This window comes from Homo sapiens, chromosome 3, assembly GCF_000001405.40.
Source record: "Homo sapiens chromosome 3, GRCh38.p14 Primary Assembly".
Classification (NCBI taxonomy): Eukaryota; Metazoa; Chordata; class Mammalia; order Primates; family Hominidae; genus Homo; species Homo sapiens.
Window position 1 is genome coordinate 157,213,826 of NC_000003.12, and position 26,401 is coordinate 157,240,226.

The window sequence follows — 26,401 nt, forward strand, 5'->3', positions numbered from 1 at the left end:
CATCACACAGACTGGAGTGCAATGGCATGATCTTGCCTCACTGCAACTTCCAACTCCCGGGTTCTGGTGATTCTTCTGCTCAGCCTCCCAAGTAGCTGGGATTACAGGTGCCCACCACCATGCCCGGCTGATTTTTGTATTTTTAGTAGAGACGGGGTTTCACCATGTTGGTCAGGCTGGTTTCGAACTCCTGACCTCGTGATCCACCCACCTTGGCCTCCCAAAGTGCTGGGATTACAGGCATGAGCAATCGTGTCCGACCATCTTGGGTATTTTTAAAGAAATAGCACTGCTATTATAACTTTGTTTTCATGTAAGTGGAAATAGTGGATTTCCATGGGATGAAAGCAACGGGGCAATGCCTCTAGCATTGTTTAGTGCTAGATGAGGCTGGTAGTTGGTAAGAAGTATAAAAATCAAGGAGAGACCGGGCGCAGTGGCTCACGCCTGTAATCCCAGCACTTTGGGAGGCCGAGGCGGGCAGATCACGAGGTCAGGAGATCGAGACTATCCTGGCTAACACGGGGAAACCCCGTCTCTACTAAAAAATACAAAAAATCAGCCGGGCGTGGTGGCGTGCGCCTGTAGTCCTAGCTACTCGGGAGGCTGAGGCAGGAGGATGGTGTGAACCCGGGAGGCGGAGCTTGCAGTGAGCCCAGATGGCGCCACTGCACTCCAGCCTAGGCAACAGCAAGACTCCGTCTCAAAAAAAAAAAAAAAAAAAAAAAAAAAAAAAGGAGAGAAGGAGAGATGACTTTAGCCAAAATAAGTCTGGAAATGTGATTTTAGCCAGTCTTCACTTTATTTCATCTGTGGTTCGTCTGTGGGTCACATTTCCCTTCCTAACAACCCCAAATTCTTATATCTCTTTAAACCTGATCTTATGAATGTTGTAGAACCAAATTTGTGAATTTCAGACAGGCTACTGCCTTTTCCAGAGATATTTACAGTTTAAGCCTTTTTTTAAAAAAAAAAAAAAACAAAAGAAAGATAAGCTTTATCAGTAAATGGAATTTCAAAGTCAAAAGAGGCTGAGCAAGAGCCTTTTTATTTGGAAGCAGAGGGTTCTTTCTAGTACAGTCTTCTTTGCTTCATCTGTAAGTTTGAAAGTCTTTTGTCTTTATTTATATTTTTAAATAAGTTAGGTACAAAAGTTCAGAGAAAGTCCCACTTGATTTGGTGGAAATTCATCAATTAACTTTCAGGTGGTCATGCTATTAAAACAGTCTTCTGGGTATATCCTGACATAAGCCAAGACGTTTTCACTGGACCACTTTTTTTTTTTTTTTTTTTTTTTTTTTTAATTTTTGAGATGGAGTCTCACTCTGTTGCCCAGGCTGGAGTGCAGTGGTGCGATCTTGGCTCATTGCAGCCTCCGCCTCCCTAGTTCCGGTGATTCTCCTGTCTCAGCCTCCTGAGTAACTGGGACTACAGGTGTGTACCACCATGCACAGCTAATTTTTCTATTTTTAGTAGAGATGGGGTTTCACTGTGTTGGCCAGGCTGGTCTCGAACTCCTGACCTCAAGTGTTCCTCCCACCTAGGCCTCCCAAGGTGCTGGGATTACAGACATAAGCCAAGCCACCCAGCCATTTTTTTTTTTTTTTTTTTTAAGACAGGGTCTCACCATGTTGCTCTGGCTGAACTTGAACTCCTGGGCTCAAAGTGATCTTCCCATCTCAGCCTCCCAAGTAGCTGGGACTACACGCTTGTGCCACTGTGCCTAGCTCAATAGCATGTGTGTTAACTGAGTTAGTAACACAGTTCCTTTCTACCACCTCCACCTTAAGAGTATTGGGAGAGACTTTTAATTAAAGAAAAAAGTAGCAAATTTGAAAAATAGAATGTACTAAACATTCTGGTTTTTAAAGAATGACTATTATGTCTGTGAAACATCACCTATATTTTGTTTGATAAAATAAAAAAAGAAATGCTTGGTTGAAGGCAATAGCAGGTTCATGTTTTTATGATTGCATATCTCACAATAAAAAAGTAAACTCATTAAGTTTGTTACAAGGATTTGGCAGTTTTTATGTGATTTACTCTTATTAACAAGGACAAATATATTGAATTACCATTTTATATCAAATCTATATCCTATAGGATTTAAAATGAACCAGTCTGGTTGACACATGAGTATGATGCAGAAAATCACTAATGAGAATAAAACAGGATTCCAAGTATATCAGATGTCCCTATTTGTGTATGTTATATATTAAAACATGAATTTGTGTTTCATAAGTGTAAGGCTTTGACTTGGTTTTAAGAATCTGATATTTTAATGACCTATCCAGATCCTTTCAAAAGAAGTCATTCCTTGACTATTTCAAAGACTTTACTTCTCTATTTCTGCTAGCCTTGGAAATATTCACTGTTGATTTTTTTCCTTTGGTCACAACCTTCCACCTCCTGCTTTTATCAAGCCCTTCAAAATGGTTCTTTTCATTCTGCCTTGACATTTCTCCATGCGCCCTGTGGCGGCCCACTCCAGCCTGTTGTCTCCCACTGCTCACTTAGGGGCTTTAGCTGGAACTGTGTCTGGGCTAGACCTGGTCCTCAAGAATATGTATTTAGAAAGGTGAACAGCTTTAATCTCATTGTGCTGTCCTTCCCTCTGTTACTTCCCTGCTCTTCCAGTCTGTTGGCTTTTAATTTCTTTTTTCTTTTTTGAGAGAGAGTCTAGCTCTGTTGCCCAGGCTAGAGTGCAGTGGCACAATCATAGCTCACTGCACCCTCAACCTCCTAGGCTCAAGTGATCCTCCCACCTCAAGCTCCTGAGTAGCTGAGACTAGAGGTGCATGCCACCATGTCCAGCTAATTAAGTTTTATTTATTTATTTATTTATTTATTATTATTATTATTATTATTATTTTTTTTTTTTATAGAGACAGGATCTCTATGTTGCCCAAGCTGGTCTCAAATTTCTGTGCTCAAGCGATCCTCCCACCTTGGCTTCCCAAAGTGCTGGGATTACAGGTGTGAGCCACCATGCCTGGCCACCTTTCATTTCTGACTTCTTTATTTTTTAGCTGCATGTTTGGGAAAGAGAGAACATAGGGAAGGCCTACCATACACTTGACCACCTTTGCTCAGAAGTGACCCACATCACCTCATCCATGTTCTGGTGGCCAAGAAGGAGGCAGGAAAATGTAGAGGTGCAGATAAATATTGATAAGCATTGACAGTTTCTTTGATGTCAGTCTTGTAGAATTATTTTGAGAATTAAATATGACAGCATTTTAAAAATATTTAGTTCAGTGTGTGGTAGATAATTAGATCAATAATTATTAAATTGCTTAGTATTCCAGTTCAATAAAAGTTGTTTTTCTCTTAAAAAAGGGTTGATGAATTAGCATTCTACTATATGTTGATATATTTCCGTGAGTTTGGTTAGTGCAAGCCAAAGTCAGAGAGGTTGTTCCATACTCAGAGTATTCATAAAACCGTATTTCTGGGTCTGCAAGAACAGTGACTTAGAAACCATCCTGTGGAGTCACATCTTGGGGACATTTCAGTCAGCTCCCAGGTGAAATTACATGGTCAAAATGATGTTTTTCTTCTGATTTTAGCTGAGCTCTCAATGTTAAGACCTGGGTTTGGAGTATCTATTTATCAATATACATTTTTGGGGTCATTCTGAGTTATCTCTAGTAGGCTGTTTGTTCTATTCTAAAGCTCATTTCCTGAGCTTTCTGTGGGATGCCTGCCATGGAGTCGCCTCCTGCTGTAGCCTGGAGTGGGGTTTGCCTGGTGGTCCTGACACTGATTCCCTTGCCACCTGCACTCCAGGTGGCTTAACACCCAATCTTGAGACTGAATGTGTCACCCTTTCTGATAATCCGATACCATTTTCTTTTTTTCTTTTTCTTTTTTTTTGAGACAGAGTCTCGCTCTGTCACCCAGGCTGGAGTGCAGTGGCGCAATCTCGGCTCACTGCAACCTCCGCCTGCCAGGTTCAAGTGATTCTCCTGCCTCAGCCTCCTGAGTAGCTGGGATTACAGGTGCCTGCCACCACGCCCAGCTGATTTTTGTATTTTTAGTAGAGACAGGGTTTTACCATGTTGGTCAGGCTGGTCTCAAACTCCTGAGCTTGTGATCCGCCCACCTTGGCCTCCCAAAGTGCTGGAATTATAGGCATGAGCCACTGCACCTGGCCACCTTTGCGTTTTATAATCCCTCTGCTCTTTTGCTGCCTAAATCAGAACATGCCTACCCCAGGAAGAGGCAGGGCACATCCGCCTCAGTATCAATTCTACTCACTAGGGACAAATAAAAGCCATTATTTTTATTTTGAAACAAAAATAAATATATTAGGGAATAGAATGTAAAATCCTCTTGAATTTTGAATCAAGAACTACAAGAATTTTTTTTTCTATAAATTGGGTGGAACTCTTGACCCATTTTTAGTTTGGTTTCATTTGCCATTTTGAAAATACTGTGGGTAGAGTTTAAGGAGCAGACTTCTCTCACTTACATCTTGTTAACTTGAACTTGTTCTTATCAAGTCTAAAACGGATTCTATTCTAGCAATGCATCCTCTGATAGGTCACTCCTGATGTCTTCTGGCTGGTAGAGATGCCTCTTTGTAATGCTCACAGCCATGCATGGCTTTCTCTTATGGATTTTGTTTACATTTTATTTATTATTTTGTTATTTAGCAAACATAAAATGCTTATTAAAAGCAAGGCAATCTTCTAAGTGACTAACGTATTTTAATTTTCACAACAACCATATGAGGGAGGTACTCATTTGTGTGTATGTATGCATATATATGCATGTTGGTGTGTGTAAATATATCTCTGTGTATGTATTCTTATATGTATATATGTATGTGTGTATGTATATATGTGTGCATATATATGTATGCTTGTGTGTGTATGTTTATGAAACACTGAGGTACAGAAGCTGAATAACTTTCTCAAAGTCACATAGCCAATATAAGCCATAAACCAGAGATAGTTTTTGAAATCAGGTAACTGACTTCTAAGTCGATACTCTTAGCCACTATATTGCCTCTTGCTGTATTTTAATTGTTGGTTAACTTCTCTCTTTTCGTCTGGACTATAAGGGCCTTCTGGACAGAGTTTTATTGATCTTGCATCCCTTGAGCCTAGAATGGAGCCAGACACACAATAACTGGGCAGCCAGTGTTGGCTAAACCTTTGCATGGAGAGGGTGGAGGTCATTTGAACTGTCTGCCTAGGCCATGTGACTTAATGACCCCATCACCTTCTTTATGAACATAGCCAGTGGGTTCTAATTGTTAGAGGAATTGTACACTTATTTCATTCTGTGCTTAGTGGAACACGTTGTGAAATTTTTGTACATAGACAGTTTCTTGGAATATTTTAACAATTTCTTTGAATGTCTGAATGGGAATTCTAGGATTCCAATTTCTCTCTGTCCCTTGTTTGTGATTCTAGGAAATACAGCTTAATTCAAAGTTTGTGAAAGCTCAGGAATCTTTCTGCCATGTTCTGAGATTTTATTCTGTACTACCTGTCCTAGAGTTCTGATTTCAGGAACAGACTCCACCAAAAAACAGCTTTTGAGGCTTTGAAAGTAAAAGCAGATGCCATTACCTGCAATATCAGCAGTTTTCCTTAGAATCTTTCCGAAGTGACATCTCAAGGAGCTGATTTGGAGCAAAACTTTATATTCCCTGTGAGCCGAATCATTTTGAAAACACACTTGTTGCAAGTGATGACTGGTCAGAAGTAAATCTACTGAGTGTCAGCTCCATGTAGGAGTAATCCACCACAGCTTAAAAAATCAAAACCGTATTTTCCTTAGAAAACATGTTTTAATGAATATCAAGGTAGAAATCTTCCTTATTTTGTTGATAATTAAAAGGAAGGCTTTGCATTACACCAAATTTGGACTCTCTTTGTGGTCCTTGCTTCCCCTAACCCTACTTTATTTCATACACACACATACACACATGCATACTTTTGTTTTGTTTTGCTTTGTTTTGAGACAGGGAGGGTCTCACTCTGTATCCCAGGCTAGAGTGCAGTGGTGTGATCATGGCTCACCACAGCCTCTACCTTCCAGGCTCAAGCAATCTTCCCACCTCAGCCTCTTGATTAGCTGAAACTACAGGCATGCACCGTACTCAGCTAATTTTTATATTTTGTAGTAACAGGGTCTTGCTATGCTCCCCTGGCTAGCTTCAAACCCCTGGGTTCAAGTGATCCTTTTGCCGTGGCCTCCCAAAGTGCTGGGATCAAAGGCACATGCATACTTTGTTTCTATTTGGAATATTTTGAGAAAATGTGGTCTGCCTGCTGTCAGTTCCATGTCAGCATTCATTGACTCACTCATATGGCAAACATGCTGTATAACTTTTATCATTACCTTACTTGCATCTGATTTTCTTTTTCAAAAACTGGAAGTAGTTACATGTCTTTGTAGGGTCAGAGAGTTAGAATTATATCACAGTTATTCTCTCTCCCTGTTTTCCTCCTCTTCCTTCTTTCTCTTTCCCCACCTTCAACTTTGGAAACAAACCATTAGTGCTTTTATAGTTAGAGAGTACCTTGAGGGAGGAAATATTTCTGTTTCCTCTTGAGGGCAATCTCGTAAATTCTGCTAACATACTAAGAGGTGTGAATCAGTACAGTGAGGCCAAAGGGATCATATGGTTGAATTCAGATCCTGAAGCAGTTACTCTGGATATAAATGACTTTGCCACTAATTGTTTATGGCATATTAAAGGCTAAGAGCTAGAAAGATGACAAAGGACATGCATTTAGGGTAGTGTATTATAATTATATGTTGAGTGTTACTTGTGGTAGGTAAACACAGTGTGAAAGACATAGTAACTGACACAGCCAAAGATCAATAATCCACATATTCTCAATTAGAATATGTATGTGTGTGTGTATAAATATGCATTTATTTATATATAGCCCTTCTTATCTCAGAAAGGAATGAAGATTATTTACCAAAATACACATGGTACAAAGAGATAAGTAAAATTGAAAACAAGTGGATGAGAGTACCAGAACCCTAAATGAGGGTAGGAAGATGCAGATGAAGCTAGGAGTTACATTATACATTAAATGTATGCTGTAAGAATGGGTCTATTTGCTCGTGTTGGCTACAAAGTCTGCCCTAAACTTTCCAGTAGCTGATACAGAAAGCGATATGGCCCCAAACTAAGAAGGAGCAAAATTATTCCTAATGCTAAGAAGACCAGTGATGAATTTTTCATAAACAGGGTGTTGCAAAATAACTAGGCCCTCAGCAATATCCCCTGAGTAAATACAGGAATTAGTTTTATTGGTTTGCTCTATGATCCTGTGCACCCTGAGGCTGGCAGATATTGACTCTTCCAGAAATAGCTATTTTTCATTTGTGGAGCTGCTTATTGTTTACCAAGGCTCAGGAATCTTTGAGGAGGGATGATAGCAAAATATTATTGTTTTACTAGATTAAATTAGGTAACAATACTTTGGCAGCTAATCAATAGCTAATGTATAATCAGAATAATTGTGTATATACAAGTATTTTTTATCCTAGAAGTAAACAAAACTTTTCTTAATTTCACTGAGTTATTATTATTAATTTTGCTGACTGTCATTTGATGTTGTTTATTTGAATATGACTTCTATAATTTCTGCTGTGTGTCTGAAGAAAAGGGCAGAATTTGAGAGTGTTTTTAAAAAAATTCTTACATGTTTCCTGTAAGAATTTTACATGTTTGCCTTAGACTCTTTAACAAAAATCATTTATTTGTAAAAGTGATACATGCTCATTTTAGGAGATTTGGAAAACACAAGAACACACAAATGACCTAAAATCTCATCATTTATAAATAACTTTGGCATGTTATATAGTATATGTCTTTATGTGTATAGTGTATGCAGTGGCTTAATTTCTTAATTTTATGAGGGTTACTACATGGTTCCACAGCCATAGAAACTAGCTTTATAGTTTCTCTACTTATGATTAAGTAAAACTATTGATTTCCTATCTGCTTGAACACACAGAACTATCCTAAGATACTGTGGAATTGGGAGCAAAACACAAAACCCAAAACTTTGAGTTTAAGACCAGAGACTTGAGAGAAAGTCTGACATTCACAAATACACTCCCACCACCACGTTTTTTATTTTGTTTTTTGGTTTTTATTAAACAATATTAGGTATCAGTTTCCACAATGAAATAATGTTCCCCAAGTGATGGTGCTACAGAAAGTGGGATGCACTATATAAATGTGAATGGTATTGTCCTTGTTAACTAACACTAGTGACTTCGAAACTGAACAAGAGCCCGGTGACCAGGGCTCTGACCATGTGCTCTTGACCCTTTAATATAGAAGGAATGGGGGAAAAAAGAGGGAAATTAGAAAGAATACTCCAGAGTAGTGGGATGGGTCCAGAGATATGAGTTGAGACAATAGAGAAGAGTGAGAAATATTGCTCAGAGGCATTGCCATTTTAATTTATTTCCCACAAGCATCATTTAAGTTCACAGGAAAAAGTAATCACAATTGGAAATATAAATAAATAAGGGGGCTGATAGGGATATGTTCATTCTCAGTGCAAGGAACACTATTGAGTGCCTGTGTGTTCCAGGAACTTGGGAGATGCAAAGGTGCTTGAAATGCAGCCTTTATTCTCGAGGAGTTCCAGGTGCATTTTGCATGATACTAAGAGTACAAAAATAAAAAATGGGAACAATCCAATTGAATAATGAGACATTTTATTTTTAATACATTTTAAAATTTGTAACAGTACCAAACTTTTAGAAACATTGCAAGTACAGAACAGAACAAAAAGTTTTTTTGTTTTTCTGACAATTTTAGAGTAAGTTGTTGACCTGATGTCTTATTACCTGTAAGTATTTTAGTGTGTATTTCCCTACAAGCATATTCTCCTACATAATCACAATATAACCATCAAAATCAGAAAATTAATACTGATACTGAAGTACAATGCCATGATCATAGTTCGCTGCAGCCTCAAACTCCTGGGCTCAAGCAGTCCTCCTGCCTCAGCCCCCTGAGTAGCTGGGACTATAGTTTCACACCACCACGCCCACCTAATTAATTTTTTTTTTTTTGTAGCGATGGGGTCTGGCTATGTTGCCTAGGCTTGTCTTGAACTCTTGGCTTTAAGCAATCCTCTCACCATAACCTTCCAAAGCACTGGGACTACAGCTGTGAGCCACCGCACCTGGCCCATTGCTAACTTTAATCCTCAGACCCCATTTAAGTTTTGCTGATCATATGCTTTATAACAAAAGCTTCCAGTTCAAAATCACATATCACATTTAGTTGTCATTTTAGTTTCCTTCAGTCTAGAAGAAGTCCTCATTTTTTCTTTGACTTTCACAACCTTGACACTTTTCAAAGGCTAGTTATTTTGTAAAATGTCATTTAAATTGGGGTTGTCTGATATTTCTTCATGATTACACTCAGGTGATGCATCTTTGGTAGGTGTGATGGTTAATGTTGGGTGTGAACTTGACTAGATTAAGGGATACCTAGATAGCTGGTAAAGCATTATTTCTGGGTGTGTTTGTGTGAGTGGTAGACTGAGTGGGAAAGATTTGCCATCAATGTGGGTGGGCACCAGACAATCATCTGGGGGCTCAGATAGAACAAAACGCAGAGGAAAGGTGAATTCAGCTTCTCTCCTGGAGCTGGGACACCCTTCTTCTCCTGCCCTTGAACGGCAGAACTCCAAGCTTCCCAGCCTTTGAACTCTGATTTGCAGTAGCGGCCGACTGGGTTCCCAGGCCTTCAAACTCAGACTGAGAATTACACCATCAGCTTCAACACTCTGTGCTGGGAAGCTCCCACGCCTTGATGTTTTCCTCACCCTCTTTGAGCTCTGGCAGCCCACAGCAGATTGCCCCTTTTTGGTGGACACTCTTCTTACTGAGCTCAGGCTTTAAAACCCCTGTGAGGCAGCCATCTTAGAGAGTGTCTGCTCTATCTGAGCTCTGACACCCTGCTCTGGGCCATGGTGGCTCTCCCCTTTGAGGACAAATATTTCTCTTACTCTGCCCCAGTTCATGGTTTTAGGACTGCATTATTTGGAAGGGAAGGAAAGAGAAAAGGGGAAGGAAGAAGAGGAAAAGAAGATAAAATCTATTTTAAATTATGAAAATTGGAAGAAATAACAATGTATATTTTGTATTTGTTTTCTATACTAATGATAAATGAGGCCTCTAGTTATCTTAAAAGACTAAAATTTTATTCATGTTTTTAAACTTTACATTTATTTTTTTCTTAGGGGACTAATGTAATGCTAGATAATTAGGCTCAGATTCCTTATTTATATTCTTATTTGGGGCCAGAAGGGAAATATACTTTAATATATAATCTCCCCTTTTTTAATATGCCCAGAAGGATTGGAAAATATTGGGAATTAACAATTATTAGTGAAGAGACTAGATTGTAAAGCTATTATATTTTAAAATAAAGTCAGCATTGCTCCTTTTAATCATTTCATGCAATTTTGCCCCAAAGGCATTTATCCTTGTCGTTATCCATTGAGTTGCACTGTAAACCCTATTAACTTAATCCAGATGAAGTCACAGAGTTATTTCTGACTCCATGTTGTGGTTCTATTGAGGTAATTACTACCAAGTGATCAGTGATTGAATTTGAAAAAATGCATTTAATTATTATTAATTGAATAACCACTGAGTTAATAAAACTGTCCTAAGATATTATACTGGAAATTAATTGAATACAATATATCTACCTTCTAGAAGTTATGCCCTGAAGGAGATAATAAAGAAGTAACAGTCTTTTTCAGGAAGGTGAAAGACACTTAATAAATGCTCATTAAATTAAATGTTTTCCTAACATTTGGAAGCTGGGGTGGCTCATGGGAGCTAAATGACAATTTCATTCATACAAATTCTTAATATGGCAAGCATGTCAAGTTAATCAACAATGTTAGGCAATCCAGTGACTTGTCTGAGATTTTTAATATCTAAATAGTAAGCTGGATTTAAAATAATCAGTCTAGTCAATTATTTATTTTCTTTTGTAAAATGTAGTAATAACATCAGGTTAAATCAAGGTAAATAACCTAAAGTTAAAAGATTACAAATGTCCACAATCCCATCCCTTTCTTTTTCTTTTAAAATGTAAGGTGCCTAGTAATTTTCTTAAATAATAATATAGAATAATAGATAGCTTGTCTGTCTCTGACTGGCTTGACCTTGACTTGTTCCATGATTTCAGCTTAGAATTCTTACTAACCATAATGTGGAAGAATTGCAGGGCCTTAATGCAAGCTGTGATTCTGGAATTGCCTCATAAATTTACAGATAAAAAAAAAAAGTGGGATGTTTTGCGCTTAGTAATGTAAAGAAAGCATTTGAAGAAGTTATCACAATCAAGTACATCTGCAAAATTCAGAATCCAGGAAGTTAAAATTTCCCATTGAAAGAAGAGATGACCACAATACCCAACAATACATTTACTGATTCAGCATGACCTTAAAAATGCATTTCACTTTTTCTCTAAATGAATGTGTGTATTTGTTAAGAACATTAAACAAAGTCTGCATATAGCTTCAAGGATTCAATAATAGTAAAGAGCATCAAATAACAGAGTCAAAAGAAATAAACTGAAGGAAACTGTGAGCAAAGATGAAAAGGCAAAGTCTCTGGAAACAGTCAAGAAGAAAGATTACTGACCACTGGACTGAACTTGAGACTTTCAGCTGGATTCAGGTGTGCTCCTCGGGTCTCCTTTCTAGACCCAGGCCGAAGTGGCTGCACCTTCCTATAGCATGTTTTTCTCATGGTGATGAAGGAGAGGTGGGTGCAGGACGTGCACTGCCCCTGAAGACCTTGGCTCAGAACAAACACACTGTCACCTCCACCCACATCCCATTGGCCAAAGGAGGTAACATGGCCAGGCCCACATTAGTAGGATGCAAAATACAATCTTCCCGTAGTAGGAAGATTCTGAAGATTCAAGTTTTGAGAAGACAGAAAAGCAATAAAGTGATGCATCAATAGGAAAAGTACTTTGCTATGAGGCAAGAACAACACATTTGCTTTCAGAAGCAAATAACCCTGAGACTTCAAAGAAAACCTTTTGATTTCTATCTTTCATTTATTTTTGTTCAAATCTTTGTGTCTGATAACAGATTGGAGGACTCTGGGAATCCACTGCTTTATGTTGGTATTTTAAGGCAGTCATTTGCAATATCCCTTGTAGTCCCTGTCCTCCTTTCATCCCCCAACCAACCTCTGGACCATTTCCTAACAGACACCATTCTGAAATTATTTGAACTAAAAAAGCTTGCCTGAGGAAACAGGGTTCTTTTAAATTTATGGAGCTTAAGGATCTTAAATAGGTAATTTTTCCAAGCACTACACTTGGTTAGGAGGGAAGAAAGGGCTGCCTTCCAGAGGGCTAGCTTGTGTTAAATTCAGTTCAGAAATATAAAACTTTTGGGCCCATTTGACAACAATTCAACAACAGTTTAGGAGATTAAAAAAGGAATGGGTAGAGATTCAGACCACTGACTAATCATTCTGAACCCGGAAGTCTAGAGAGTTTCTGAGGTTTTAGATTGCATCATGTATAATGTCAAATTCTCATACATAGGAAACCCAAACCATCTGACTATAAAGTCTATGGTTCTCAATAATGTTAAGAAGTCTTATTCTCCCTGCAGTAACCAAGATTATTGTCCCTAGTTCTTCACTTTATTCTATAATAAAATGATATGTTCTTGTCCTTGGCCAGGGGAATTTGAAGTGCTTCCTACTATGGGAAGATTGTATTTTGCATCCTACTAATGTGGGCCTGGCCATGTTACCTCCTTTGGCCAATGGGATGTGGGTGGAGGTGACAGTGTGTTTGTTCTGAGCCAAGGTCTTCAGGGGCATTGCATGTCGTGCACCCACATCTCCTTCATCACCATGAGAAAAACATGCTATAGGAAGGTGCAGCCACTTCAGCCTGGGTCTAGAAAGGAGACCCGAAGAGCACACCTGAATCCAGCTGAAAGTCTCAAGTTCAGTCTAGCCCTACTGAGTCCAGATGGCTTGCAGACCTATGTGGGGATATATAAATATTTGTTGTGTAAGTCACTAATATGCTGCTTCACAAGCTTGATTTCAAAATTTACTTCTTAGTATAAGTCCTAAAGAACAAATGACACTACAAATGGCATGATCATCCTGACATACTCCAAACGCTCTTTCAGAATAAACTGCCTCAGAGCTTCCAAATAAAAAATGTAAGTCCTAGATTAAGTTATGCTTAATATCACTTAAAAGATCTCAACTATTTTCTTCACTGTGATGGATGTATGAGCTGTTACTGGACTGTCAAATTAAAAACAGCAAATCATTTTACATGAAAAAATAGCCTACCATACAGCCATTATAAAGACAAATCCAGAATCTTGGGACAACCCGATTCTTTGGCTTCTCTATCCCTGCACCTGAGCAGCTGAATGTGGAGGGAGAAAACAGGTAGAAAAAATCCACTCTGCTGGCTGGTCTACTTAAGATTTATTGCAGCACAGTCAGACACTCCTACCCCACTTTTATGGTAGGTTACTGTGTTGGGCTGTTCTTGCACTGTTACAAAGAAATACTGGAGACTAAGTAATTTATAAGAACAGAGGTTTAATTGGCTTATGGTTCTGCAGGCTGTACAAGAAGCTTAGTGACATCTGCCTCTGGCGAGGCCTCAGAGAGCTTTTACTTATTATGGTGGGAGGCAAAATGGGAGCAGGCACCTCACAGGGTGAAAGCAGGAGCAAGAGAGTGAGGAGGGAAGTGCTGCACACTTTTAAATGACCAGATCTCATGAGAACTCACTCACTATGGCGAGGACAATAGTAACAAGAGGGATGGTGCTAAACCATTCATGAGAAATCTGCCCCCATGCTCCAATCACCCACCACCAGGCCCCATCTCCAACATTGGGGATTACCTTTCAATATGAGATTTGGATGGGAACACACATTCAAACTATATCAGTCATCTTTTCCTTTCACCAGGAAGGACCATTTCACATATTCTCCTCTCCCCTCAGACCTCCAGTACCTTCTCCTCTGGCCTCACTCTTAGCTGATGACCTTGCTTCTTAATTTACTGAGAAAATAGAGGCAATCAGGAGAGGTTTACCTTATCTTCTATGTCCAACTCCATCTGGCTATGTGTCTAGATGGTCTTCTCTCTTGTTATCATTCAAATGGTCCCAGTCCCTGGGCCTATATGGGACAGCCTCTCTCAGCACTGAATCTTTGAAGCCCATCCTGGGCTGCATCCTTGAGAACTTTGCTTCTGCAATCATGCCCTCTCCTTTCTGCAGCATCAATTTTCACCTTTGAGGGATCATTCCCATCGGGATACAATGTGTGGTGTCTCTCCCAAGTTCTCCCCAAGTTATTGCTGTTCTTCATCACCAAACCAGTAAAACAGACAGCCTATATTTGCTGTTTCCATGTCCTCACCTTCCATTTTCTCTTTAACTCATTCCAATCAGGATGTCATCCTCATGGCTTCAAGGTAATGATTCTCATCAGGGTCACTAGGGACCTCTATGCTGCCAAATCCCTTGGGCAATACTCCTTTTTCTTGAAATATTCTCTTCACTTAGTTTCCCATTCATCGTCCTCTCCCAGTTTCTTCCTTTTACTGGACGTATCTTCTGCATTTCCTCTGCTGGCTGTATCTGATCTCCTGAACTTCTAAATGTTGGAATGCTATAGGACAGTGTCCTTGACTCTCTTTGGCTGTCTATCATACCCCTTTCTATGTGATCTTAACCAGCCCCAAGGGTATCTATTTTCAGACAAATTCCAAATGTATATCTCCTCTAAGCTCCAAACTCACCTTTCCATTTGTATGTCTAATAAGCATCTCAAACCAGACATGTCCAAAACCAAACTCTTACCTTCCATACCCACTTCTTCCTCACTTTTTCCAATCTCAATAATTATAACTCTATTGACCAGTAGCTCAGGCCAAAACCTAGGTGTCATCCTGATATTGTTCTTTCCTTCTTTCCCCATATCAATCAGCAAAACCCACTGGCTCTATCTTCAAACTATCTGAAATCTGATGACATCTCACTCTTTTCACCCCACCACCTCCTGTGCCCTTTTGGCTTCCTTTTGGATTCTGTCATGATTGGCACCAGCACAGATGGACAGAGAAAGGCCAGGTATTTCTCCCCCACTCCCTCTTTGATTCAGGGCTGCATCTCTAGAAGTCGCTGCATTCGCGTGACTCCAGATAACCCTTGTCCTTGGCCCCAGCTGGCACTGGGCTCTCCTGTTCTATTCTGTCTTTGCTCCTTCAGCCCTTGGAATAGTACTGCCTTTTCTCTTTTGCTTTGCATCCCATTTATGCCTCCGTGAACTTCAAATGAAATCTCTTCATCTGATTCATCTGAGGGTGAAGCTCTTTTTCTGCTGGAACCCTGACTGACACACTACTCTATCTAAAATATCATTCCTCTTCACTCCTTATCCCTTTAACTATTTTTTTTCTTAGTATATACTATTAACTAAAATGTATGATCTGTTGTTTTGTCTTTGCTTTTTATTTTTTGTCCTCCCTCTCCTCTTCCTCAAAAGGTAAGCTTTCTGGGGGCTTTTATTTTTATTTCCACATCTTTATCCCTGGCCCCTGGAAGAACACCTGATATAGAGTTTCATGTAAATATGTTTCTATGAAAGATGGTTCTGAAGTGTTATGGAATCTGGTGTCATTACATTGAGGGGAAATGAAAAAGTGAGTTGAAGAATATCATGGCATGGTTATATTTTTAAACAATCTACCTATTCAGATATAATATTTGAGTAGTATAAAAGAAGCATATACCCCCAAAATATTAACAGGGGTCACTTTCCTGGAAGTGGATGGTAGGATTCAGTGGATTCAGTTTTCTGCTTTGTGCTTATCTGCACAATTTGAATTTGTAGGAGAAATAAGACCACCGGAAGCCTCTACGAAGTTTTTAGAAACATTAGAAAAACTCTTCCCCTAACCACAGTGGAGACACAGACCTGCTGGCACTAGGAAAGTGGATTTTATTTCTCACTGGTCACCATTTTGAAAACACAACTGTACAACATTATGTGTTGGTGTTGAGAACAAGTATTTTTTTTAAGATCAGAAAAAATATCATTTATATATGCCTTTCCCCTCAATTTATTTTCCAACCCATCTTTTATGTTTTTTTCAAAAATGTCTTGACATTACATAACCAAACCAAAATTTATTAATAGTCCCTTATTACTTTTTCTTGACAAACAGAAAAAAAGTATACTCATGAGCAAGAAAGAAAACAAACAACAAACAAAATGAAGTAGGAAACTCAATGTTAACAGCTTAACACAGAAAGCCACTACAACAATGAACAAAAATTGCAAGTTAATGATAAAGTAATGTAGAAACAAAATTACAGACTACTAAAAACATGGGATTGCCAGTTGTTCAGAAATTCCACAGATGGATCGTGAGTGGTAAGTAGCAGAAGGGTTCTGGGTACCCTCTACAGGAAAAGCTAACGTTGCCAGCAGATCTGATTTTAAGTTGTGTCTCAGATATTTGACAGATCCCATTGAATTTTGATGACTTCTGGTCACGCACCCAACTAGATATTTTAGAAAAAGTGAGTTCAAGGGAACTTGAATGCAAAGGTGCTCAACTAGGCCCAAGAGATTTTCATGTCTGGAGAGCTGAATTAAGTGTCATGGAATCTGGTATCATTACATAATATAGAGAAATAAGACTTTTGCATTTCCATCTGGTGCAGCTTAGTAAACCCCAGAGGCGGCCTCTCCAGGTCAGAGTTGAGACACATGGTTGGTGTCTCCTGGATGATGTGGGAAAAGCATGCCTTGTTGCTTGAGCTGCGTCCATCCTGACACCGGCAAAGTTGACCAGAGAGCCGGAAAACTGGGGTTGATCCTGGATAATCATGCCTGCCACAGGGACCAAAGAGAGTTTCCAACACGGCCATGAAGTCTGGTCCACATAATCAATGATAGGTGATGTAATAGTGATGGCCTGCCTGAGTTTCTTCCAGCCTGCCCTGCCACCTGGTCCTGAGCTTTGTGCTCTCTCCTATTTCCTTGATCTTGTACCTGCCTTTCCCAAAGAAACAGCCACACTGGTTATAAAGGATAAATATTTTGTAAAAAGCGAGTTCATAGGAACACCAATGTGCCAGTACCCATTTGGGCCACAGGCTGCCTGGGGATCAATTGTCCCACTGGTTGCAGAGTGGCTGATGTCCTCTCCCAGATTTTTAATGATCACAGCAAATGCTTTACAGATGGCATTAATAGATCTGGCCAGAACAATGATTCTCTCAGAAGAGTTGCCTTCTGAGATGCTGATATGTGCATTATCCTCCCCAAGCAGCTCCTTAACTGCTGTTACTTCCCACACTCTGCATGGTTCTGCCAAATTCCTTTCTACGTAATATGCTTTCGGTCATCCTGGAGTCTGTGGCAAGCAGTATCTGGAGATTTGGATACTTGTTAAGTGGTTGTTTGGTCACTGGTAGGAGTGACCAAACACTTTTCCTCTCAGTCATCCTGGGACCACAAAGCAAGCCTGCTTTGATAAATAGCGTGTAAGTGAAGATGTTTTATATTCAGGTGAAAGGGTTTAAGAATGGAATATGATTTTCCATGCTCTTTTCTCTGGGCATGGTGATTGTGGAATGATATTTTGATACAGATGTCCACACGATTGAATCATGCAGGGATACCAAGACTCCACATGAAGGACAGCTTCATTGAACCTCACCTGCCTCAGCTTTGTATGAGTGACAAATAAACTGTGTGTAGCATCACTAAGATTTTGGGATTGTTTGTTACCACAGCATAAATTGGCCTATCTTGACTATTCATTTGTAAATATTGTATACTTATAGTGCTTATACAGTTTCAGGCACATTGGCAATACATATTCGTTAGTTAAATGGATTGAATTAAGAATAAATTTAACATTCACTGAACAAATGACTATAAATTATGGAAGTATATTAGCTAGAATAGCTCAGTTCAGTTTTATTTATTGACCGATACTGTGGTAGATATTGAGAATACAAAGATAAATTTGTTTTTAACCTGGAAGATTTTGGTTGGAAGATAAAATTGGAAAGGTTGATTACTGTCTGGATGTGGAGGATCTTAAATTAAAGACTGGGCCATTTTAATTCATCTTGTAGACAATGGGAGGGAAAAGTAGGTGTCTATGGGTTTTGAGCAAGGGAGAAGTACTATTAAATTGACATTTTAGGAAAATTAATCTGCTGATGGTGAAGGAGGTATAAGCATACAAGTTGAGAGGCTATTTCAATAATCTAGGTGTGAAAAGATAAGGGTCCAGGCTGGAGTGTTGGTGATTGAAATGAAAAGGCATAATCGGAAATGAGAGAAATTAGAAAGTAAAAACAGGGTATTGGATATGTGAGGGGTAGGGAGGTGAGAAGGAAGAATGATTAACGAATGACTCTTAGATTCCATGTCTGTGATGCCACTGGTGGAGGTTGGGAGGATATAGAAGATGATGAGTTCTTTTTGTTGTGTGTTGAATTTGAGGAATGACAGCTCATTCATACAGAAATATCCTTAAGGTTAGTTTGTGAAGTAGGATTGGATGGAGCTTGGCAGAGAAGTTGATGCCAAAACTAGATTATAGTGTAGTGATCATACTGGAAACAGTAAGAGTAGATGAAGTTTCTAAACGGGAGCTTGTAGAGAGAAAAGCGTGGGCTTTAAGAGAGATCCTCATTTAGGGACATGAGAATGGAGAGGAGTTAGCAAAGGACACAGGGAAGTAATCAGTAGGAGAGGTAATTTTTACTGAACATTTACTATACTAAGAATTTTACATGCATTTTATTATCTAATTCTCACAGCCTCCCCTAGGAGGAAGAGTTATTCCATTTTATGGATGAACAAACTGAGACTGATAGGAGTTTAAGAATTTTCACTGAGGTCAAATAGCTACTAAACAATGATGCCAGGTCTGCTTGACAACAAAATGTTGTCATTTTGTTCTTAACCGTTGCGGTTAAACTCAAATGATCCAAGTTTTAGATGAACCAGCTTGTTATTGAGGAGGGGCTGGCCAACAGGGTCATACGCTATAAATTCAAAAGAAATGATGTTTGAGAACAGGCCATTGATTTGATGAACAGGAAGTGATGGTTTTGAGTAGAAGTGGGGGTAGTGAGCAGGAGCATCACTACAGGGGACAAGGTAAAGGCATGAGTGGGTGATGCTGAAGGAAGGAATCGGTGGAGACAACCAATCAAGAAATGACAGGGGAAAGGAACAAGAGGAAGGGATACATCCTAGGGGGGATCTCAGGGTTACTTTCACAGATGTATTTATTTCCAAGACAGAGGCACAATTTACATATAAGATAAATGGATCCAATGGAGCCAGAGAATGGAAATACCACAAAGATGGCACCAGTGGAGTTGGTAATTTTTTGAGGAGGATAGAAAGACGGGGATCTAAAGTCCAGGGGAAGGGATCAGCTCTGGAGGGAGAAGAGCAACTGCTTGCTTCAAGACCAGAGGGGAAGACCAGCTATATTTTAAACTAGAGATACTCTGGCATCTCTTGAATTTACTGGATTTGTGGAAGTTCCTTTCACCACATTGATACCAGTGAAAGCCAATTTTAACTTAGATTAGCTCAGAATTAAAATTTCCAGTTACTAAAATATGTATGTGAAAATGTGAGATTGTTTTTTAAACTTATAGATAAAAATTGGTTTTATAAGAAAAAATTATTATAATTCTTTCAAGTTACATCACTGAGTCCTTAGTACTTTGTTTTAGAAAACAACTACCTGTTCACCTGCTGAGCTCATTTCCAGTGTCTGGTTTGAGTTCTGACCCTAAAAATGCTATTTAATAAAATGCTCTTATTTTGGATACATCTTATGCATATTTTAAAAAACACTCTTTATGAAAAACATCTTTGCATCTTAAGTTTATTTGCTTTGAAAGCTTTAAGTCTTTTTTTTTTTTTTTTTTTTTTTTTTTTTTTTTTTTTTTTTTTGAGATGGAGTCTCGCTCTGTTGCCCAGACTGGAGTGCAGTAGTGTGATCCTGGCTCATGGCACCATCCACCTCCCGGGTTCATGCAATTCTCCTGCCTCAGCCTCCTGAGTAGCTGGCACTACAGATGCATGCCACCATGCCCAGCTAATTTTTGTGGTTTTTTTAGTAGAGATGGAGTTTCACCATGTGGGCTAGGTTGGCCTTGAGCTCCCGATCTCAGGTGATCCGCCTGCCTCGGCCTTCCAGAGTGCTGGGATTACAGGCGTGAGTCACCATACCTGGCCTGGCAGCTTTCAGTCATAATATATACATCTCAATTATTTTTATACTAACTTATTGGTTTCTTATATAAATTCCAAGGCATGTCTAATAGTCTGTCATTGCAATCTGAATCAGCTTTTTTTTTCCTGAGCAAACACAATTAGAAGGGCTTTAGGATTAATTACATGATTAAACATTTAGTGACTCCCAAAAACTTAGTGAAATAAAATGCATAGAAATTGTTGACTCAGTATTCTAAATAAATCTAATCTTTAGGAATGTCCATGGCTTTGGCAGGATTCGAGGAACATGAATATTATGGGGAAATTTTTTTATGAGACTTAAAAAGGAACAAGAACACAACAATATAAAACATAAGAAAGGAATCTAGTATTTTTGTCAGAAGCAAGTTTTCTCATGAAAATGGAAAAAATATATAATTTAATTTGCATGTTTTTTTTTGGTCAACTCTGGTTTATTTTGTTGGTTTTGTTTATTTGTGTGCTTGAAAGGTTTGCTGCTGGGCCCTTGGACTAAGACCTGGGAAACTCTAAGCTTCATTTTTCTTCACGTGCCAAGTGGTATAGGGAAAGTTGCTTCATCTTTTATATTTATGAATCCCTAGGATAAAAAAAGAATATACCACTTACTTTTTTGAAAGTATTTGTGAGTTTTTATATGAAAAACTGAACAATACTTCAAATTATAGAGCAGCAGGGGAAAATCGAGTGGGGCTGAGGAGACAGATTATGCTGCCTACCTTCCATGGGACTCTGTTGGGCTCACTTTGTAGTTCTGCCATTCAGGGCTGGCTTCCCCAGCTCACTCCGCTTGTGGCTTTGGACACTGCTTTTTCTCCACACTCTCTCTTCGTTCTCCAGCTTCTTTGCTGACTCCTCTTCCTTGACCCAGCCCTGAAATGCAAAGATTCTCTGAAGGTCTATCTCCACACCCTTCTCTTCTAGCATTATCTATATGCTAGTGCAGTCTTTTTCACGCCCAATGTTCCTGCCACGTTTCCACATACCAGTCAGACATCTGTGCCTATGTGCCCCACAGGTACTTTAAACCCAGTGCCCCCAAAGTTTAACATGTCTTCCAGTCCTCTATCAAAATGCTTCCCTTTCTGGACTCTTTGTGTTGATTAAAAGCTTCACCTTCTCATAGTCAACAAAACTAGAAATATGTTCATTTTCCTTGCCTCTCACATCTGATCAACTATGTGTTGTTAATACTATCTCAAATGATTTAATCTCCTTCATTTCCCACATCTTATAAGTAGCCACATTCTGTTTATATTATCTCTAAAATGTTCGCAGTGTCTCTCTCTTGTCCATTCTATCTTCTGCCCTTGTTCTGACCTCATCACCTATTGCATCAGCCAGCTACCTGGCCTTCTTGCCTCCTTCTCTGTTCATTCCATCCTGCACACAGCTGCCAGAGTTGTTTTCTAAAATACAAATTTAATAATAATAATCTTTTGCTGAAAAACCATTGGCTTCTGCAGCAGAGTCTGGCTGCAGCCTCATTTTCTGGCTACACTGTTTCTGCACCCCTTTCCGCCCCCCGTGTAATACATGTGTGCTCTATCCTGTACATCCAGCACACCATAAACTTTCATGGCCCCATGTTTGTTTGGCCTTCTGTAATGCCCTACCTGTCTTTTCTACTTGGTGAAATTACACCAATCTCTCAAGGTCCAGCTCTATTGAAAAGATATAATAGACTATCTTTAGAATATAGTAGGACTCTAATAAATATTTTTTGGTAAGTTAGTTATAAAGAAAATACAAAAGCCTTATGGTACCAGTAAAGGATGAGGGATTATTTTGTTAGCTGAGAAATATAACTGTGTCAAGTCTATACTGTCCAAGATCCCTACCTGCCATTTGCATGGTCTGCCTCAGGCAATGCTTCCTTAGTTCCCTTATTAAAGATAATTTTAGTTTAAAAATATATATATATATATTTTTAATGAAAAATGATACTGTAATGAACATATTTTATGGAATACTTTTGCAAGTATATCTGTAGTGTGCATTCTTTTTTGTTTGTTTTTGAGACAGAGTCTCATTCTGTCATCCAGGCTGGAATGCAGTGGAGTGATCTTGGCTCACTGCAATCTCTGCCTCCTGGCTTCAAGCGATTCTCCTGCCTCAGCCTCCAGAGTGGCTGGGATTATAGGCATGCATCACCACACCCAGCTAATTTTTTGTATTTTTAGTAGATACAGGGTTTTGCCATGTTGACCAGACTGGTCTCAATCTCCCGGCCTCAAGATATCTGCCTGCCTTGGCCTCCCAGAGTGTTGGGATTACAGGCGTGAGCCACTGCACCTGGTATATACACATTCCTTTTAAATTTAGGAAGCTAGCCCTTTGTCTACAATATGCGTTGTAAACAATATTGCCAGTTTACCAATTGTCTTTGATTTTGTTCATTATTATTTTTTGTTGCATAGAAATTTAAAAATCTTTACAGCTAAATTTATTAATATTCTTCATGCTTCTATGTTTTGTGTCATTCTTTAAAAAGTCTTCTTCATTCTAAGATTATGAATAAATACACCCAGTTTTCTTTAGGCATTATTATAGTTTCTTTTTCAGGGTTTAAACCTTTGATCTTTATGAAATTTACTTTGATATAAGGAGTGAGATGAGATTTGTCTTTTTTCCCCAAGTTGTTACTAGTTATACCAAATCAACTTATTGAATATGCTTTTCTTCACTAGTCTGAAACTTAGCTTTTATATAAAATTCTATTGCATAGTTATATGTATTTCTGAACTCTGTACAATTCAATTAGTGAAAACTTTTGATGTCCCAAACCAGTAGTTTAGGAGATTTCAGCATTAAATCAGAGTTACTCTGGATCCAGATCTGTTAGCAGATATAAACTTCACGGTCACAAAATTCAGGTGAGCAAAGATGTAACTTTATTTCCCTACAACCCAACTTAGTTTAGCTCTTGAGCCCCTATGTCCATTTTGTGGTAGAACTCTTAATACAGCCAATTCAAGGTATCTCTGTGTCCCATGGGTGATATAAGACCTGGGGGTTGGGGATGAGATAACTTTTTTCTCATCCAGGATTTCATAAAGAGGATGATTCTGGTTGATAGCCATCTCTGTCTTCTGGCATCTATAAGATATAACTCAATCTGTCTGGTCCTTCTAATTGTGCACTGGCATATGGTTATGTCCTGGCCACGGGCCTTCATTTGCTAGTTCCAGGCACCTGTGCCCAACATCCCCATCTCAGGACCTCTCTTTGCTTTCCTGAACCCTTTTCAAGGGGGGCCCTGGGAACTCTTGTCTGCTTTCCTATACCACTGGAGGTGCTGAGTCTCACTGAAGCTGTGCTCAGGCCAATCTAACAGAACATCTCTCAGACTTTGCCGGTTTTCAGCTGTAGCCTAATGTTGAATATAGGCTTCTCCAAGAGGCTTTAGGTATTTCTGGGAAGGGAAGCAGAAGTTTACTATGCTCTCAGTTCCTTCCCAAAACTACTTTAAATTTCTTCTAGAGGCTTCACCCCAGCTCCATGGAGGCCCCTTTCTCAGGAATTCATATCAATTACTTGTTTTCTTGCTCTCTTTTCCCAATTATCTTCTTTCCTCACAACTGTGAGATTTGCCTCTGTTCTAGGGAGGCAGCAGCGGCTGTGCTGAGAGGAAAGAAATGGCTTTTACATTACCCTGTGATCTTTCCAACTCCAGTGTTTATAGTATAAACTTCTTGTTCAGACCTTTAGAAATTGAGCAGAGCTTTTGGAACCAAAACAATCGTTTGTCTCTAAACATTTTAGCTTTTAATATGATAATTTCTGGTATGAATTTTGAGAGCCTATTTTGGTAGTCATGGCCAATAATTTGATTCTTTCTTCTTGCTGCATCAAGAAGAGTAATGGGCACACAGAAGCCCTGGGGGAAGGATGCCTTGGAGGAGCCCGTGTTATCTCAAATGATTATCTGCAACACTGAGTGAGTCCTTGATCTGGCTCCTAGACCGCTGTCTCCATCCTTGTGATCACTCCCTTGGTCTTGGGATTCATTTCAACTAGCTGCTGGTGCTCTTAGTTCCTTTCCTCTGCCCTTGTTTAGTCCCTGCTTTTTTTTTGTTTTTTCACAAATTATATTGTATGTGGTTTATTATTTGTTTTAAAATTGACAGATAACATTGCATTGTGGAATAGTTAAATCTAGCTAATTAACAAATGCATTACCTCACATAGTAATCATTTTTTGTGGCAAGAGCACATAACATCTACTCTCTTTACATTTTTCAAGAATATTGTCATTAACTATAGTCACCACGCTATACAATAGACCTCTTGAAGTTTCTTCCTCCTATCTAACTGTAATTTTGTATACTTTGACTAATGTCTTCCCACATTCCGCTTTCCCCAACCACCCAAGCTGGTAACTACTTTACTACTCTCTACTTCTATGAGAGCAACTTTTTTAGATTCCATATATGAGTGAGATCATGCAGTATTTGTCTTTCTGTGCCTGGCTTATTTCACTTACTATAATGTCCTCCAAGTTCATCCATGTTGTGCAAATGGCAGGATTTCATTCTCTTGTATGGATGAATAGCATTCCATTGAGTATATATACACCACATTTTCTTTATCCCTTCATTTGTCATGGGTACTTAGATTGTTTCCATATTTTGCCTATTGTAAATAGTGCTGTGAAAAATGAGAGAATGCAGATATCTCTTTGACTTAACTGATGTTTTTTCATTTGGTTATGTAAACAGATGACCTACTGATTACAATTCCTTTAGATATATACTCAGTAGTGGAATTGCTGGATCATATGATTGTTATATTTTTAATATTTTTGAGGAAACCTAAATATTGTTTTCCACAATGGCTGTACTAATTTACATTCTCACCAACAGTGTATAAGGGTTCCCTTTTCTCCACATCCTCACCAGCACTTGCTATTTTTTTGTCTTTTTGTTAATGGCCATTCTAACTGGGTGAGGTGATATCTCGTTGTGGTTTTGATTTACACTTCCCTGGTGATTAGATTTATATTTCCCTGGTGATTAGTAATGCAGAGCATTTTTTAGCAGCACCCCAGTGCTGCGCTAGTCTCTGGGGCATGGGCTTCGGGTGCAACCCAGCACTGCATCAGCCTGCCTTAGGGCTCCCCCTAGTGCTGCAATGGCTATAGCAGTAACCAGTGTGGGAACCTTGCCTGTCAACGAGCCCTGAATCTTTGGACAGGCTTACTGCTGAAGGAAGTACTTGAACAAAGTCCCTTACTGCCTTTTGAAATGGGGTTCTGCCTAAGTTCCCTCACCACAAATCCTCTCAGAGATCACAGTCCTAGAATCTACCCTCTTTGGCTGGGTCATCATTTTGATTGCAAAGCTGTCTACTTTCCAAACTTTTGCCTACTCTCTCTTCTGGGAGCCTCCTGATATAGTTCTCTATATGTCTCCTGTTGCAGGTTGTTGGATCTTTCCAGATCACCACACCACATCACCCAGCCACTCTGCCCAATGGGAGGGCAGACAGTGTTCCAGTGTAGGAGGAAGGGGTGTAAGGTGCGGGCAGTTTGTGAGGAGGGCACCAACGAGAGCTACTGTGAGAAAGTCTGCATGGTCAAAAAGTGGATTACCAAGAACAAAGCATCATAATGTTGTCCAGTGGACCCCAGGTTAGCTTAAAAGGTCTAGTCTTTGATTCTTTATGGATTATTGTTTTGATGTATGTCTTAGTCTGTTTATGCTGCTATAACAAAATACCTTAGGCTGGGTAATTTATAAAGAACAGAAGTATATTTCTCACAGTTATGGAGGTTGGAAAGTCCAAGATCAAGATGCTGACAGGTTTTGTGTCTGGTGAAGATATTTCTGCTTCCAAGATGGCATATTGAATCCTGCTTCCTCCAGAGGGAACAAACACTGTGTTCTCACATGGCAGAAGAACAGAAGAGAGAGAACCCACTCTCTCAAGCCCTCATATAAGGGCCTTAATCCTATCCATGAGAGCTTTCCCCTTATGATTTAATCACCTTCAAAATGCCCCACCTCATGACACTATTACATTGGCAATTAAATTTCAACATATGAATTTTAGGAGAA

The 26,401-nt window shown here is 39.2% G+C and overlaps 1 long non-coding RNA gene and 1 pseudogene across 1 annotated transcript in view; one reads left to right on the forward strand and one right to left on the reverse strand.

Annotated features, from left to right (window-relative positions):
* Positions 1-26,401, forward strand: part of LOC101928236 (uncharacterized) — a 220,247-nt gene that overhangs the window by 40,126 nt on the left and 153,720 nt on the right. Inside the window, exon 3 of the long non-coding RNA XR_007096141.1 lies at positions 25,765-25,974. This is a non-coding gene — a long non-coding RNA (uncharacterized LOC101928236). The remainder of the gene's footprint in view (positions 1-25,764; positions 25,975-26,401) is intronic.
* PCBP2P4 (PCBP2 pseudogene 4) lies at positions 16,534-17,370 on the reverse strand (annotated as a pseudogene).